Here is a 14374-nt window from a genome sequence, read left to right as displayed (position 1 = left end):
CATGTTCATTATGCTGTGAAGCTAATATTGTGTCCCAGAGCACATGCGGCCTGTATGGACTGAGTCTCATCTATTTACACTGCCTCCCCAGTGTTCATTCTTTCATCATCCAGGAAATTATAAGAACCAATGGAATGCACACAAGAGAACATCCTATCATTTCATGGAGATGAGTCTTATAGCCTTTATAAATTTTCAACTCCTTTCTAAAAATCAGGATAGAAAATGCAATTCTCCAGTTTAAGTTGCCAAAATACCTGTAGGCATCATACGACTTATCTCTTGAAAAATCTAAAAATCGTGTCTCTGACACTCACTTCATGGAACATCCTGTTGGTCCTCACCATGTGCCTGGGTGAAGGTGGGTAAAAAGTCATAGAGTGGATCCACTTTCCTGGACATCACTGTTTCCCATCTAGCATCCCCTCCCCTTTCCCTTTCCAAACAGGGCTCAGATTTGTTTCAGTTTCCTACACTCCCCTACATAGCCCACTTACTTCAGAGAAACCTGACCCCAACTCCTACCCCTAGAAGTAACCAACAGCTCCTCCATTCCTCTGCCAGTCATTAATTTGGAGATGGATATGTGACCTAAGTGGCTTAATTAGGCTGGATCTCAGGATTTGTGCTTAGAATGCTGGGGCAATAGGGTTCCTCTTACTCCTTGAACATGAACAAGGAAGTCCAGGTTGTCCTGGCGGCCATCTGTGTGACCACAGGAATTGAGCTTGTATTGTGGGCAGCAGAGAAGAGTGGCAAAAAGAAGCCATGTCCTTGGGGAAATTGTTAATACTGAGACTGGTTAGAGGTTAATAAAGTCCGTGTGCTTTGGAGGCCACTTTGAGCCACATTTTCCTGTTACAGTAGCCAAAAGCATTTTAACTGATATTTGTTCTGGCTCCCAACTGGCACCACCATTCCACAGAACTCATTACCTCAATTGTTAGTATCAGCGGCTCCAAGTCTTGATAGACAATCTTCACTCGCTTAGCAGCTCGCTTTGCCTGAACCTCAGAATCGGCAAGCACAGCACAGACAAGCTGACCCACACAGAACACCTACGACACAGAAAGACCTTTGTTGTCAAGGAGGGCAGGCATCAGGTCCTCTCTTTTATTCATTTTCTTCCTCCCTCCTAGTACTCGATTACAGTAGGGCTAGGGCTAGATACACACAGGTGTGACCCCTCCACATCTGTCCATGACTATAACCACAGCTGGCCTCCTGATCCGAGGCACTGGGGGAAGTTTAGATCCTTGTGCTGTATCAGAGGAGCAGGAGTGATGCTGTCTTGAGGACAGCAGGCTCAGGCTCCAGGCCAAGCCTATGAGGCTGTGTGAGGGCCAGCCTGTCCCATGGCTTGATGTTTGGCTGTCACACGACAATCAGAGCTGTTCTGAGAGAGGCAGCCTCTGCCTGCACGGACAGGGAGGACCAGGAAGTCACAGATCATCTCAACCAGAGAGAAAAAGGGGATGACCTGGGAAGGGGAGTCCCCTGTGATAACAGAACCCTGATGGTGAGCACATCTCTCCTCACAAACTGTCTTTTCATGAAAAGATGTCCTAGCCAAGACGTGACCAAGCAGACAGCATCCCCTTCCTGGGGGGGTTGACAGCTAGGATTATTCGCCTGCAGGTGGGGCAGCTAGGCTCAGGAGTTCACACAGGGACCACAGCAGAAATTTAGATGGGGAAAAGAAACCTTAAGACTTGAGAAAGGTAAAAACAGTCTGGACTGGAAGAAGTCACCATCATTGCTGAGTTCTCTCTCCTACTTTATGCTGTGATTCACAATTTCAATGTAATCACTCATTTTAAAAATTGACTTTGAACTATTATGTCTTTTCCACAATGAACATAAAGTAGTTTTATCATCGAAAAAAAGGCATTAAAAACATAAAATCTAGCATGAACACAAAAAAAGTGTGTTTGTTTGGGGTAGGGGCAGTGAAGGAGAGAAAAATGAAACAAGAATGGTAACGTGTTGATAACTGTTGAAGCTGGGTGATGGATCTATGGGGTTCATTGTATAATACTTTCCCATTTTTGTGTATGCTTACAATTTCTACAATGAAAAGACTTTTAAAAGCCATTAAGTGCCATAAATGAATGTTTTAAAAAGCATTAAACCAACAAAGGCAATCATTCACAATGGCACTCCAAAGACTCCTGATTTTGCTCCTGTGACCTGGCACATAGATGTGGCCCCTGAGATGCTTATGATCTTCATAAGCACACCTCAAAGAGCAGGTACTATCATGCAGCCAAGATCAGTTTCACTTGTTTAGTAAACATTTATGCAAAGGGCTTAAATTCTCACCGTCTCTGCCAGTGCTACACAGCCCTGCTTTGGGGGAGTTTCAACCTTGAGTTCAAACTCTCAGTCATCAAGCTTTCATTTCTACAGATAATATCTTCAAGGGAGTATCTTCCAAGGAGAGCCAGAGGAAGGGACTGTTTCAAATTATGAAGCCCTTTTGGGTAAACACTGAACTGAGCAGTCCGAATTATGCAGAAAACCTGTTGACTGCTGTTCTTGCTGTAGCCAAAGTTTTAATCATTTGTAATTTTCACAAGGCAACAATGTTATCACTATACCTCTACTCATTCACCCTGCAATGTGAGAAGCAGTGTGTGGAATACACAGATGAATCAGACATGGGTCCTCACTCAAGGAATTTATACTAGGTGGAAGAAATATATAAGACATCAAAATAAACAAGCTTAACACAAGGTAGAAAGTACATAAAGGTCACTTTGTTTTCTCCTCTAGACTTTAAGCTCCATGAGAGTAGAGATCATACATATCTTGTTCAGCTATGGTGACCAGACATCATAGATGCTCACTTTTAAAAATCCCATTTAAGCCGGGCGTGGTGGCTCATGCCTGCAATCCCAGCACTTTGGGAGGCCCAGGCGGGCAGATCACCTGAGGTAAGGAGTTCGAGACCAGCCTGGCCAACATGGCAAAAATGCTGTCTACTAAAAACACAAAAATTAGCCGAGCATGGTGATTTGTGCCTGTAATCCCAGCTACTCAGGAAGCTGAGGCAGGAGAATCGCTTGAACCCAGGAGGTGGATGTTGCAGTGAGCCAAGATCATGCCACTGCACTCCAGCCTGGGTGACAAACAGAAACTCCATTTCAAAATAAAATAAAATAAAATAAAAAATAAAAAGCGCATTTAACACATGGAAATATAAATAAATCAGAATAAATTGAGAGAGAGAGAGAGAGAGAATGAATGAACTTCTGGATTGAAGAATGAGAAAAAAGGCTTCATGGTGCAGATACCACTTGAACTTGTAGTTGAACTTTGACCACACTGAGACTGGGACAATAATAAGGGCTTCTCAGGGAAGGGATTTCCATATAAAATTTACCATTATTCCATCTTCATTTACTCATTTATACCATTAGCAGTATGCCATCTCACTATTAGAAAATGTAAAACACCAAATAATCTTTTATATAACTAGTTAATGTCTTTACTTGTACAGAAAATGAATATATTTGAATTCATTCAATATTAGAATATACTTTTATAATAAGCATTCTAAGAATACTGGAGTCTTTCATGGTGTGCCAAAGTAGATGGTATCTTTAAGAAAATATGAAGCACCGTTAACTGAGAAAGTTATTTTTCAAATAGAAAGCAAAAATGCAGTACCTTATCTGTCGCCAGAAATTTCTCAGCTTCAGTAAAAAAGCAGAAGGAGTTGACGTCACTAAGATGTTCTGCTGTCATGATGTCCACCACACCGGGCATGCTGAGAGCTTCTGACAGATCAATAGACCTAGATGATATACACAGCAGAGCTCCTTAGAGTGGCCATAGAGGCCAAGAACATGGTTAATTGGATAATAAGATATGAGAGAGGTAAGAACTGTCCAACAGTCTCTGCCAGACAATTGGGAAAAAATTCTTGGGACAACGAAGTTGTAGTAAATCCTACATTTCGATCCTGTTTCACCTCTGGTCTGCATTGGATATCACCAACAAATAGCCTATTTCTTCACACCATTACTTTTCACTAGTGTGACTTAGATGAAAAGACAATCATTTATGCCCATTGAGTAAGAATTTTACCACTTACACAATCTTAGCATGAGCTCTTGAACTAGTCACAAAAGTCAAGAAAAGTTCCTGGTCCACCAGAGGCATGTCATCACAGTAGATGGCCTCCCCCGTGGCATGCTTCACACCAGACAGATGCATGATGGGGTGGCCAATTGGGTCTTCAGGATGCTGCTTTGGGCCTATATTCTGTTTAATAAATAACCAAAATATACTTTTACATTTCTATAGAGAAAGTAGGAATTATTATTATGCACATTTCCCATAAGAAGGTAGCTATATAATTTAGACTCAAACCAGAATACTTTTGCATATGAAAAAGCACTATTGGGCTGGGCACAGTGGCTCATGCCTATAATCCCAGCACTTTGGGAGGCTAAGGTGGGCAGATCACTTGAGGTCAGGAGTTCGAGACCAGCCTGGCCAACATAGTAAAACCCCGTCTCTACTAAAAAAAAACAAAACAAAACAAAATAGCCAGGTACGGTGGCACATGCCTGTAATCCCAGCTACTCGGGAGGCTGAGGCTACAGAATCGCTGGAACCTGGGAGGCAGAGGTTGCAGCGAGCCAAGATCACAGCACTGCACCCCGGCCTGGGAGACAGAGCAAGACGCCATCAAAAAAAAAAAAAAAAAAAGTCACTATTAATAACACCAAGACAATAAACCTACTACAGTAATTCAATAAGCCAACTGGTATGTCAATCCATGATGTTGTTCTTATTTTTCACTTTTTTTGAATGTAGACCCCAAACATCTCAAATGGAAATTCCATTTGTGTAAGTAAACAAATTTAAATCTTTCTTCTTGACAATACAAAATTATGTCCTCTTGCTAATGCTTATGTATCTCTTTAAATTTTATTATCAAAATGACTTTACTGTTTCTATATAAGCACGATACATATAATATTTTACAGAAGAGTATGATGATATCGTGACTATGTTTGTAGAAAATACTGAGGGTATTACTTCAACCAGAATAGCCTTCTTTTTTTCAATTTTGAGTGAGGAAATATAAGAAATAATTGGCAAAACTCTTAACTTAGACAATCCTGATAGAGAATGAAGCCAAAGGGACCTGCAATTGGAGTAATGATCCACTAATGTTGCTCTTTCTTAGAGCCCCATGGAGCAGAATATCTTGCTGTTGGCTCTGTAAATACCTTAAATGTGTTTCATTAATCAAAGCAGACATTAATCAGCACAATGTCTGCCCTGGTGTTTCAAATATGGGAATTTATGGCTTTCCCAGTCGGGTGTGTATTGTGAAAAGAACTGAAGATATGAAGAAAGAAGGAGAGCAGGTGAAGAGACAGACATAAGGCCAGGGTGAAGGCTGTGGCTGAGGAGTGGCCTGCTAAGCCCTGGTGGGTACCCCCATCTGTAACTCACTGTGTCAACATTGCACTCGGTACTGGGACTGAGGCCAGACTCCCAGAGGCTTTCTCTGGAAGACCTGGGGGTGAGGGGCATGCAGTCATGTTGGCCAGGTTGAGGTCAGAGAAAAGCTATGGACACCTCCCCTTCCCATCCTGCAGCTCACAGGATCACCCTGAGCCCTGGATCTTCCTTTTAGATGAGCCTTACAATGCCAGGCTACACATCATATGGCAGGAGGGAAGAGAGAACAAGTCGCCAACACATACTGGTTAAAAATCTTTACTGGGAGAAAAAAGAAGAAACAGGCCTATTTCCAACATAGCATCCTTTAAGGCATCTGAGCGGGGAGAAAAGCTAAATTCTTTTGTATTTGATTACCAGAATGTGCAGTTTGAGAAAGCCTATTCAGCACATATGAACAATAAGTTAGATACTTGAATCCATCTAAAATGGTATTTCATCTCACTCTTCACTGCAGGGTTTCCTGTTTCAAAGTCTGCCCTGGTCCAGTGAAAGTGCTCCAAGGCTCTTGCTCTATGGAACTGAAGACAAGCTGTCTGGATCCCCCCGATTAACACATTTCCTTTTCATGCAGATGTTTTGCTTTCCTTTCTGAACATTTGGATTTAATTCATCTAATCCCACAAATGGAGGAGACCTCTGGTTATAATGAGAGCTTTACTTAAGACAGCTGTGAAATGTACAGTTCTCCAGTGCCCTCTGCTGCTCCAGGAACTCGAGAAGAGTGCTCCCCACTCACTACCCAACTACTTAAGGGCCTCAAAAAAACAAAAAACCTCTGGCTGGAGATAGAGATCAGAGATTCTCCAGGCAGGTGGCAGGGCTGGAATATCAGGAGAGAACGGCAGAGTGGCATGTGTTATTTCAGAACATGTTCAACATTGATTTGAAAATAAAAAAACCATATTATTTTCATAACATAAATGACAAGAAGTAAAATGTCAACCAAATTGTGGCTGACAACTATGCACAGAAAGTAGTGTAATTTCTACAATTAACTTGGTATAAGACATGTGTGTAGGATGCATTTATTCCTATTTTATATAAAATTTACTGTTTTGCTGCAAAATAAACACTGTTGATAAGCATTTATTGTTCTAATTTCATATTTCTTTTACTTAAATGTAAACTTCAGTTTTGTAGTTAGTATAATACAGTGAACAAAAAACGGAGTATTGACTAAGTTTTTGTTTTTTCATTTTCAGTTATTGTTGAGTCATCCTGACTTTATCAGCTAGAAAGCAGGAGACTATCGAGAAAAATAATTTAGACCTTGGCCCAGGGCTCCATTCAATAAAGGTAGATATTAGGCCACGAATGTAGGGGACTAGGGAAAATGAGAGAAAAGTTTACTTATTGGGGTTCAGGCATGAGCACAGATTGGAGACAGTCCCAACACTCCAGCTCTATTGACGTAGCTCACACTGCCCTGTCCCCATGGCAAAGGAATCCCCTCAGTTCTCCTCTTCCCCCTCTGCTTCGAGGAGCTGAGATAGTGATGAAAAGGAAAAACCAACAATGAGGTTCTACCAGGTGTGGTTTTTCATATGTTGCAGATGGTAGGAATTGACTTCCTCTGCAAAATATCCCCCAAAGTGCTGAGCTGTGATGCTGCTTGGGCTCTCAACCTGAACCACATTTGAGTGAAAAAAAATCACCCACATCTTCTTTTTAAAACCCTAAGAAGTTTTTTCATCCTGAAAAGCAAAATTCCAGATAATTCATAAGCTCAGACATTAAGGAAAGACATTCATAGGTATCTGTAATGGGTCTGGGAGTTAACTGACATAACACATTTCACTGTAACAAACAAAACACTTCATCACATTGAAAAAAAGTCTTTTGAAACCATGTTGTGTGAGGCCTGCCAAAAAACTGAGGAAAAATTCCAAAAAATGTCTTTGTCCTACCGTCAAAGATATCATACATTTTTTTTTTTTTTTTTTTTTTTTTGCAGTTAGTTGTGATAAATCTACTGGTGAAAGAAGCTGTCCTCAATTACCTGCTTCTGCTTAGTATTTGGCTAAAGATACTATGGAAGGAAGAATGCTGTCTCCTCAAACTGGTGATCTTTTGAAGCTGTGTCAAAATATTTTCAAAGCAAATGAACTGATTTAGGGGAAAAATGCTCTTCGTGAGTGCTGACGTTGCTCTAGCAATGTGGATGTTTGTATGTGTGTGTGAAAAACCACGGGCAAAACAAAAACAAAACTCATCTATGTGGCAGACATATTGCATCTAAAACTTTGTTTTGCAATCAATGATAAACTCTCATTCAAGATCATGCACTATGTGAAGATTTTCCTTTTTCTTTGGATGATTTCAATATCCATTAATTTGTTGTTGTTTCTTTCTGAAGTTTATTCCATTGTCTAAGAAATATTAGGGTATTTATAAGCCAAAGGGTTCAACTATCATATTTGAAAAGAACACCGGGGAGATGGCAGCTGTTTTTAACTTTCAAAACAATCATTTTCAATGGAGTTTGGTGCATTTTAATTTTTAAACATATTGAACCTAAAACCTCAAGGAATACACACCAACGTCAATGTTCATTACGACATACTATAAGCTTTCACAACCAAATCCAACAATAGTTTCAGTGAACAAATGCTTTAAAAAGCCTTTTCATGTTCTTGACTTACTAAAACTCTCGAGGTCAAGTTTCCTGATAATAATTTCAAGGAAAAACCCACCAAACTGTATCCACTTTACCAACAGGGTGACTTCAGGCATATTTTTATGATGTGGCAGAAAATTCCATTTGAGAGTTAGGAATCCTGTTTTCTAATAGCCTTCATTACGAGAGCACAAAAAGCTCTTAGTACTTACGTTTGATTCAACTCTAAAATGTAACTCACAGAAAAATCACTAGAAGAATAGAGACTAAGGGAGTAAAATATCTTAACATTCAAGCTAAACAAATCAGCAGTTCTTTTTAAAAGCATTATTGAATTTTCATCAACCTCTAGGGGCTGTGTCTTTTCCTCTGAAAATGAAAGCAAAGCAGCCCATGGCCTTGCCGCAGAGCGTGGCTTTATTGGACTCTGATGCCTGCAGTGCCCAGGGCAGAAAACACGTGACAAGGTGGCCATCTCATGCGTGTCTGTGGTACAAGGCCACAGTGCAAAGCACGTAACCTTTAAGACCCAAATCAACATTCTTCTTTAATATTACCACTGCTAGATTTGTCTTTAATCAAATTCTTCATTGATTTTGGAATTTTAGTTACCCATAAAGAGGCTGTGAGTTTACCAGAAGTGGAGCTTGGACTTACAGAGCTTGAGTTTCACGGAGAGACAGTGGGAATGTCCAGGTCAAATCACTATAGCCCAGATTGTGAATTTTTAAAAACAAGAAATACCGCTCACCTGGTACTTTAATGTACTGCAGTGATGTTTGGAATGAAGATCTTCTAAAGCACTTTCATACTTGTCTGCAAGGCTAGGATAGTGAACTGGATCCTGAAAAGTAGAACCATTGCAGATATTTTAAATAGTTTGAATGCACCAGAATGATTTTGGAAGTGAGGCTAGCATGAGTCTTAGCAAGCATCTCTACTCTGAAGTCTCACGTATATTAAGCACTCACCCTATTCAGAACCCCAGAAATACAAGCAGCTCCCTGACTCAAGGACATATACTCTGAAAGGTGCATACATATTTCCTCATATTATGAATAGCCAGATGAATACGGTAGGTAACTGGCTTCCACCAGCTCTATGTTTCTTATGATTCTCTCATATACTCTCCTAAATGATATGAGGACTTACAAACTGATCCAACAAGAAGATAGAAGCTAAGTAAATAAAATAGAAAGGAAGAAAATACTTAAGCCAGGAAAACATCAGAGTCAAAGTACACCATTGCAAATAAGCATAAAGGTTCCATGTTGCCTGCCAGCTGTGTAGAAAGGGGGACACAGGCTGCATCCCTGTCGCTGCCCTACAGGGGAAGGATTCTGGTCCCCAGCAAGAACATTCCTCAGGACTGAGGGAAGTGAGTCATTTGGTTCTTTACACAAGACTGAACATTGCACAGCCTAGAGCTGGATGGGGGGAAAGGCTTTCAACAATACACATGGTGGTTATTTTTTCTAATTTACATAATTTTAATAGAAAATAAAACCAGCTAGGTGTCATGGCTCATGCCTGTAATTCCAGCATTTTGGGAAGCCAAGGCAGCAGGATTGCTTGAGTCCAGGAGTTCAAGACCAGCTTGAGCAACATGGTAAGACTCTGTCTCTCCAAAAAAATAAAGAAATTAGCTGGGCATGGTGGTGCATGCCTGTGGTCTCAGCTATTTGGGAGGCTGAGGTGGGAGAATTGCTTGAGTCCAGGAAGTTGAGGCTGCACTGAGCTATGATATCACACCACTGTATTCCAGCATGGGTGACAGAGACCCTGTCTCAAAAAAAAAAATTAAATAAAACCAACAAAAGCTATTATTTTTAAAGAGAGGAGGGGTATAAGACTACAAGGCAAAAGTTTTAAATTACATCGCTTGAGTCACCCAGAAATTATATTAGTTTGCTACTAATTGGAGGAGTCTATAATTGGTTACCTGGTGACAATATGTCACTTATCTATGATTTCAAATTTTCATTCTTAATAATGTGATACTACCCTTCTGGTTCCTAGTTGCTCCCACCTACACTGAGAAGATACCCTCAAAAGCAAGGATAAGAGAGGACTTTGTGTCTGCTATTTAAAGTGACCATACTAACTTCTATACCACAGGAAGACTGTTCTTGGCTTCCAGTCTGTTTTGGTCAGCTGGTTATAGCATGGGGTTTGTGAGGCCAATGAGGCTCAAGTCTCCTTTGGGTCTAATGGATTTATTCAGAGAATTTTTTTTAGTTGTGTCCTCCCCAGCCAAGAATCTTGTAGCTTTAATTGTTTGCCCTAAGAGAGACCAGGCAAAAGAATGCATGGATTGTCACTACTATTATTATGACTACTACTACAGATTTCCTCTGAAGCACTAGGGACCATATGAAGCCCTTTTCCTACAATGACGCATTTCACAGTCATCTTGTGCAGTGGCTGCCATCATGGCCACCTTATGGGCTAGGGAAATGAAGCTGAATCTGGAAAAGAACACCAAACACATGAAGTCAACCTCAACGTGAAGGTAATAGCTCAAGAGAAAGAAATGACATACAGAGGGAAAACATACCCAAATCATTAGCAAGTTTTCTGAACATGATCTGGAAAAACTAACAGTCAGAAACCAAATAATTGAGTGGTGTTAAATAAAAGCCTGATCAACTCTTGGCTCTACTTTCAATTCTTCCCTAAACTCATACCCACCCACAGACAGGCTGAGGGATGTTCAGCAAGTACGTGTGTTTCTAATGTGGATTGTCTTTTTTATTCTACAGCTATTTGGTAGGGAGTCATTGCCTCTACTTTTGGTGTCATCATAGCTCCCAGTACTGGGGAAGTTAATGTGTAAACAGTTGTTTACCATCTTTTTCAAAATCTGTGACACTTCCAGGTAGAACTTGAAGAGGAAGCTGATGATGAGAGTCCTCTTGAACTCCACTTTCCCACCTGGCGCCGAGCCCAAAAGGGAGACTTCATTCAGAATAAGCCTGCAGGCTATATCCAGCATCTGTTCGTTCCAGTGCCTGGAAAGTCCAAAGAGAAGACTCCTAGCCTGACAGGGTTTATTACCCCATATCTTCATCTAATGGGTAAGACAAATAGCCATAGTTTAATACAGGAAATAAGAGTACAAGCTCTGGATCAGGCAGCCCGAGTTCAAATTGGCCCACCATTCTCAAGGTGGCTAGCCTGGGTCTCGCCATGTCCTCACCTGTAAAAGGGGAATATTAGAACCCAACTCACAGAATGATCTAGAGAAATAAATGACAACTCATATAAAATCCACAGTCCAGGAGTAACTGACCCTCATTTACTCACTAATAAATGTCCTCACTAGGACATTTATTGCATGCCAAGATCTGCTTTTAGCACCTTATATGTATTCACTCATTTAATCCTCTCAACTGCCCTGTGAGGTAGGTATGATCACCCATCTTTGACAGCTAGGGAACCAAAGTACCAATATAATTAAGTAAGCTGACTGAGAGCATGGAGGAGTTAACAGAGGGTAAACTGAGATTTTGGCCAGTCTGCCTTTCTCAAGTTTTAAAGCTCATGCTTTTAATCACTATGCTTTGTTATGGCAGCTGATACCAAGTAATGCTCAAGAAATATTAGCTATTAGTGTCATCTTTAGATATAGGAAGTCAGGTAAGCAAATGCCTTTAACAATTTATTATAGAACAAACTCACATAATTGGTTTTTCATCATGGCAAATTATTCTCCCAAAATAAAGAATACAAATTTGCACTGTTGAGGGAGGGCTTCTCTGTCTGTCTGTCTCTCTCTCTCTCTCTCACACACACACACACACACACACACGCACACAGAGTATATAATTCCCACTTCAGAATTCACTAACATCAAGACATATGGAAATAATAACAAAATCTTATTGGAATTCCCAGCCATTAAATAGAAAGGTATGGAACACTTTTCTTCTTGTAATCACATCTCACCACAAAAAGGGCTCCTCTAATACTTGGAGTCTAAGGACAAGTATTAGAGGAGCCCTTACTTCTAATGCCTTACCTTCCAATGAGTTTCTGGCAGGAATTCTTGGCACAGATGGTGGCTGGACCAACGCCTCCATATGAGATGCATAACTCTCTAATAATGCCATCCCCTTCTCCAAAAAAGACTCTCATTCCTGAATTGACTATCGCTAGCGCATTCTCCTGTCGCTGGGCTTGTCGGAAGGCTGACACAAATTCCCACTGAAAGAAACAGTTAAGTGGCACATGTAGAAACACTGAGCATCACCTATGCACTGGGCAGTCTGTGTGTCTTGAGTATCACCTACACACCGGGCAGTCTGTGTGTGTTGAGTGTCACCTACACACCAGGTAGTGTGTGTGTGTTGAGCATCACCTACGTGCTGGACGGTATGTGTATGTTGAGTATCACATTGATATCAGATATGCAGCCCCCAGCATCTCCAGAAAATCATTCTCCGTTGTTGAGGCCACCCAGTGTGTGGTTCTTTGTTATGGTAGCCCTAGCAAACTAATACATCCTCTGAGGCAGGCTTGATTATTCCCATTTTACAGATGAGGAATCCAAGGCGCAGAAGGATTCAGTAATTAGTTCAGGCCTTGAAACCAGGATTCAAACCTGACTCTATCTCATGCAAAGCCTCATGTTTTTTCCAATAAGTTCTATTGCAAATGTATTTTTAGGCTTTTTTCAAAACCCAAGATATAGGTAGAGGCATACTCTTCATGTCATATTTAGGGAGAAAGGCTTATGGGACAAAAACCTTTTAGAAAGTTACTTTAGAGCTTGGGGTAGGGGGAGAAAGAGCGAGAATGGCAGAGATAAGTCTGGGAGTGGTGGCTCACACCTGTAATCCCAGTACTTTGGGAGGCCGAGGCAGGTGAATCACCTGAGGTCAGGAATTCCAGACCAGCTTGGCCAACTTGGCGAAACCCCGTCTCTACTAAAAATGCAAAAATTAGCTGGGCATGGTGGTGCGCACCTGTAATCCCAGCTACTCGGGAGGCTGAGGCAGGAGGATCGCTTGAACCTGGGAGGCAGAGATTGCAGTGAGCCCAGATCATGCCACTGCACTCCAGTGTGGGCAAAAGAGCGAGACTCGATCTCAAAAAAAAAAAAAAATCTCCTAATTCGAGGAATGATAGGGGCATGCGTAATACAAGGAAAAGGCAACTATTCACAAGTCTTAAAATAATGACCTCATACCACTTCCTGAAGTTGAGCCTTTATCTCCCACATAAACACTTCACCCTTTTTCTTATTCCACCATATACTGGAATAAACAAGCCATAGCATCACAGGTGCAACTGGGAAATTGACAGTGGGATGTTCTCACCTTCCTTGAGTAGGGGATGTTCACTGAGACCAAGATTTCTTGAGGCTTAAGATCTGCATTAGGGCACTTGCTGAGGAATTGCTCATTTAAAGGAATCTGTCGTTTTCCTTCTGTGGAAAGAAATGACACTTTCCCTGGGATCTGTTTGGTCTGTTAAATAAACTTCCAAAACTTAGGAAGTAATTCTACCAAATACCTGAGGAAACCGGTTGTTCAGGGAAACAGGTGCTCTTCCTATGCTTCGCAAATCTTTTACCCTATAATGCGTCTTGCAATGTTTCTTCTAGTCTAGGCCCCATCTCTTTTTGTTTTCCTTGCTTTCTCATCGATAAAAACATCGACTGGGCGTGGTGGTTCACACCTGTAATCCTAGTGTTTTGGGAGGCCAAGGCAGGTGGATCATTTGAGGTTAGGAGTTTGAGACCGGCCTGGCCAACATGGTGAAACCTCTCTCTGCTAAAAATACAAAAAAATTAGCTGGGCATGGTTGTGCGCACCTGTAGTCCCAGCTACTCAGGAAGCTGAGGCAGGAAAATCACTTGAACCCGGGAGGGAGAGGTTGCAGTGAGCTGAGATCATGCCACTGCACTCCAGCCTGGATGACAAAGTGAGACTCCATCTAAAAAATTTTTTTAAAAATAAAAAATAGATTTAAAAAATAGATGAAAAGATCTCACAGAGTAGCCCAGAGTTTCAGGTAGAATAGAACCTTAGCAGTCCTCTTCCTGACAACACAATTCACTTAAAACTTTACAAGTAGGGAGTAAATATTAATATCTCTTTTGATATTCTGATCAAGTCAGCCAACAAATATTTATTGTTTATAACCAGGAACCCCACTAGATACAGTCATGAATAAGAAATTATCTTTAATAAATTTGTATACTACTGAGATGTTATCTTACTTTTTTATATCTTGTTCCAACACCTGAAGAATTTTAGTTCTTTA

At 40.9% G+C, this 14374-nt stretch overlaps 1 protein-coding gene across 5 annotated transcripts in view; it reads right to left on the bottom strand.

The window, feature by feature from the left end:
• The window catches only part of AOX1 (aldehyde oxidase 1), a 96228-nt gene that overhangs the window by 57323 nt on the left and 24531 nt on the right, over positions 1-14374 (bottom strand). For all 5 annotated transcript variants that reach the window (XR_007073113.1, XM_011511062.2, XM_017003946.2 and 2 more), the window contains exons 13-19: positions 13426-13535; positions 12126-12310; positions 10953-11115; positions 8856-8948; positions 4100-4269; positions 3673-3799; positions 936-1058 (exon numbers count right to left, since the gene is read on the bottom strand). Coding sequence is in view for 4 of the 5 variants with exons in the window: in XM_011511062.2 (XP_011509364.1) it covers positions 936-1058; positions 3673-3799; positions 4100-4269; positions 8856-8948; positions 10953-11115; positions 12126-12310; positions 13426-13535 (971 nt within the window). In the remaining variant the exon portion in view is untranslated. The remainder of the gene's footprint in view (positions 1-935; positions 1059-3672; positions 3800-4099; positions 4270-8855; positions 8949-10952; positions 11116-12125; positions 12311-13425; positions 13536-14374) is intronic.

Source organism: Homo sapiens, chromosome 2 (assembly GCF_000001405.40).
Source record: "Homo sapiens chromosome 2, GRCh38.p14 Primary Assembly".
NCBI lineage: Eukaryota > Metazoa > Chordata > Mammalia > Primates > Hominidae > Homo > Homo sapiens.
The sequence above is the reverse complement of the archived record's forward strand: the minus strand, read 5'-3'. Positions and strand labels throughout refer to the sequence as shown.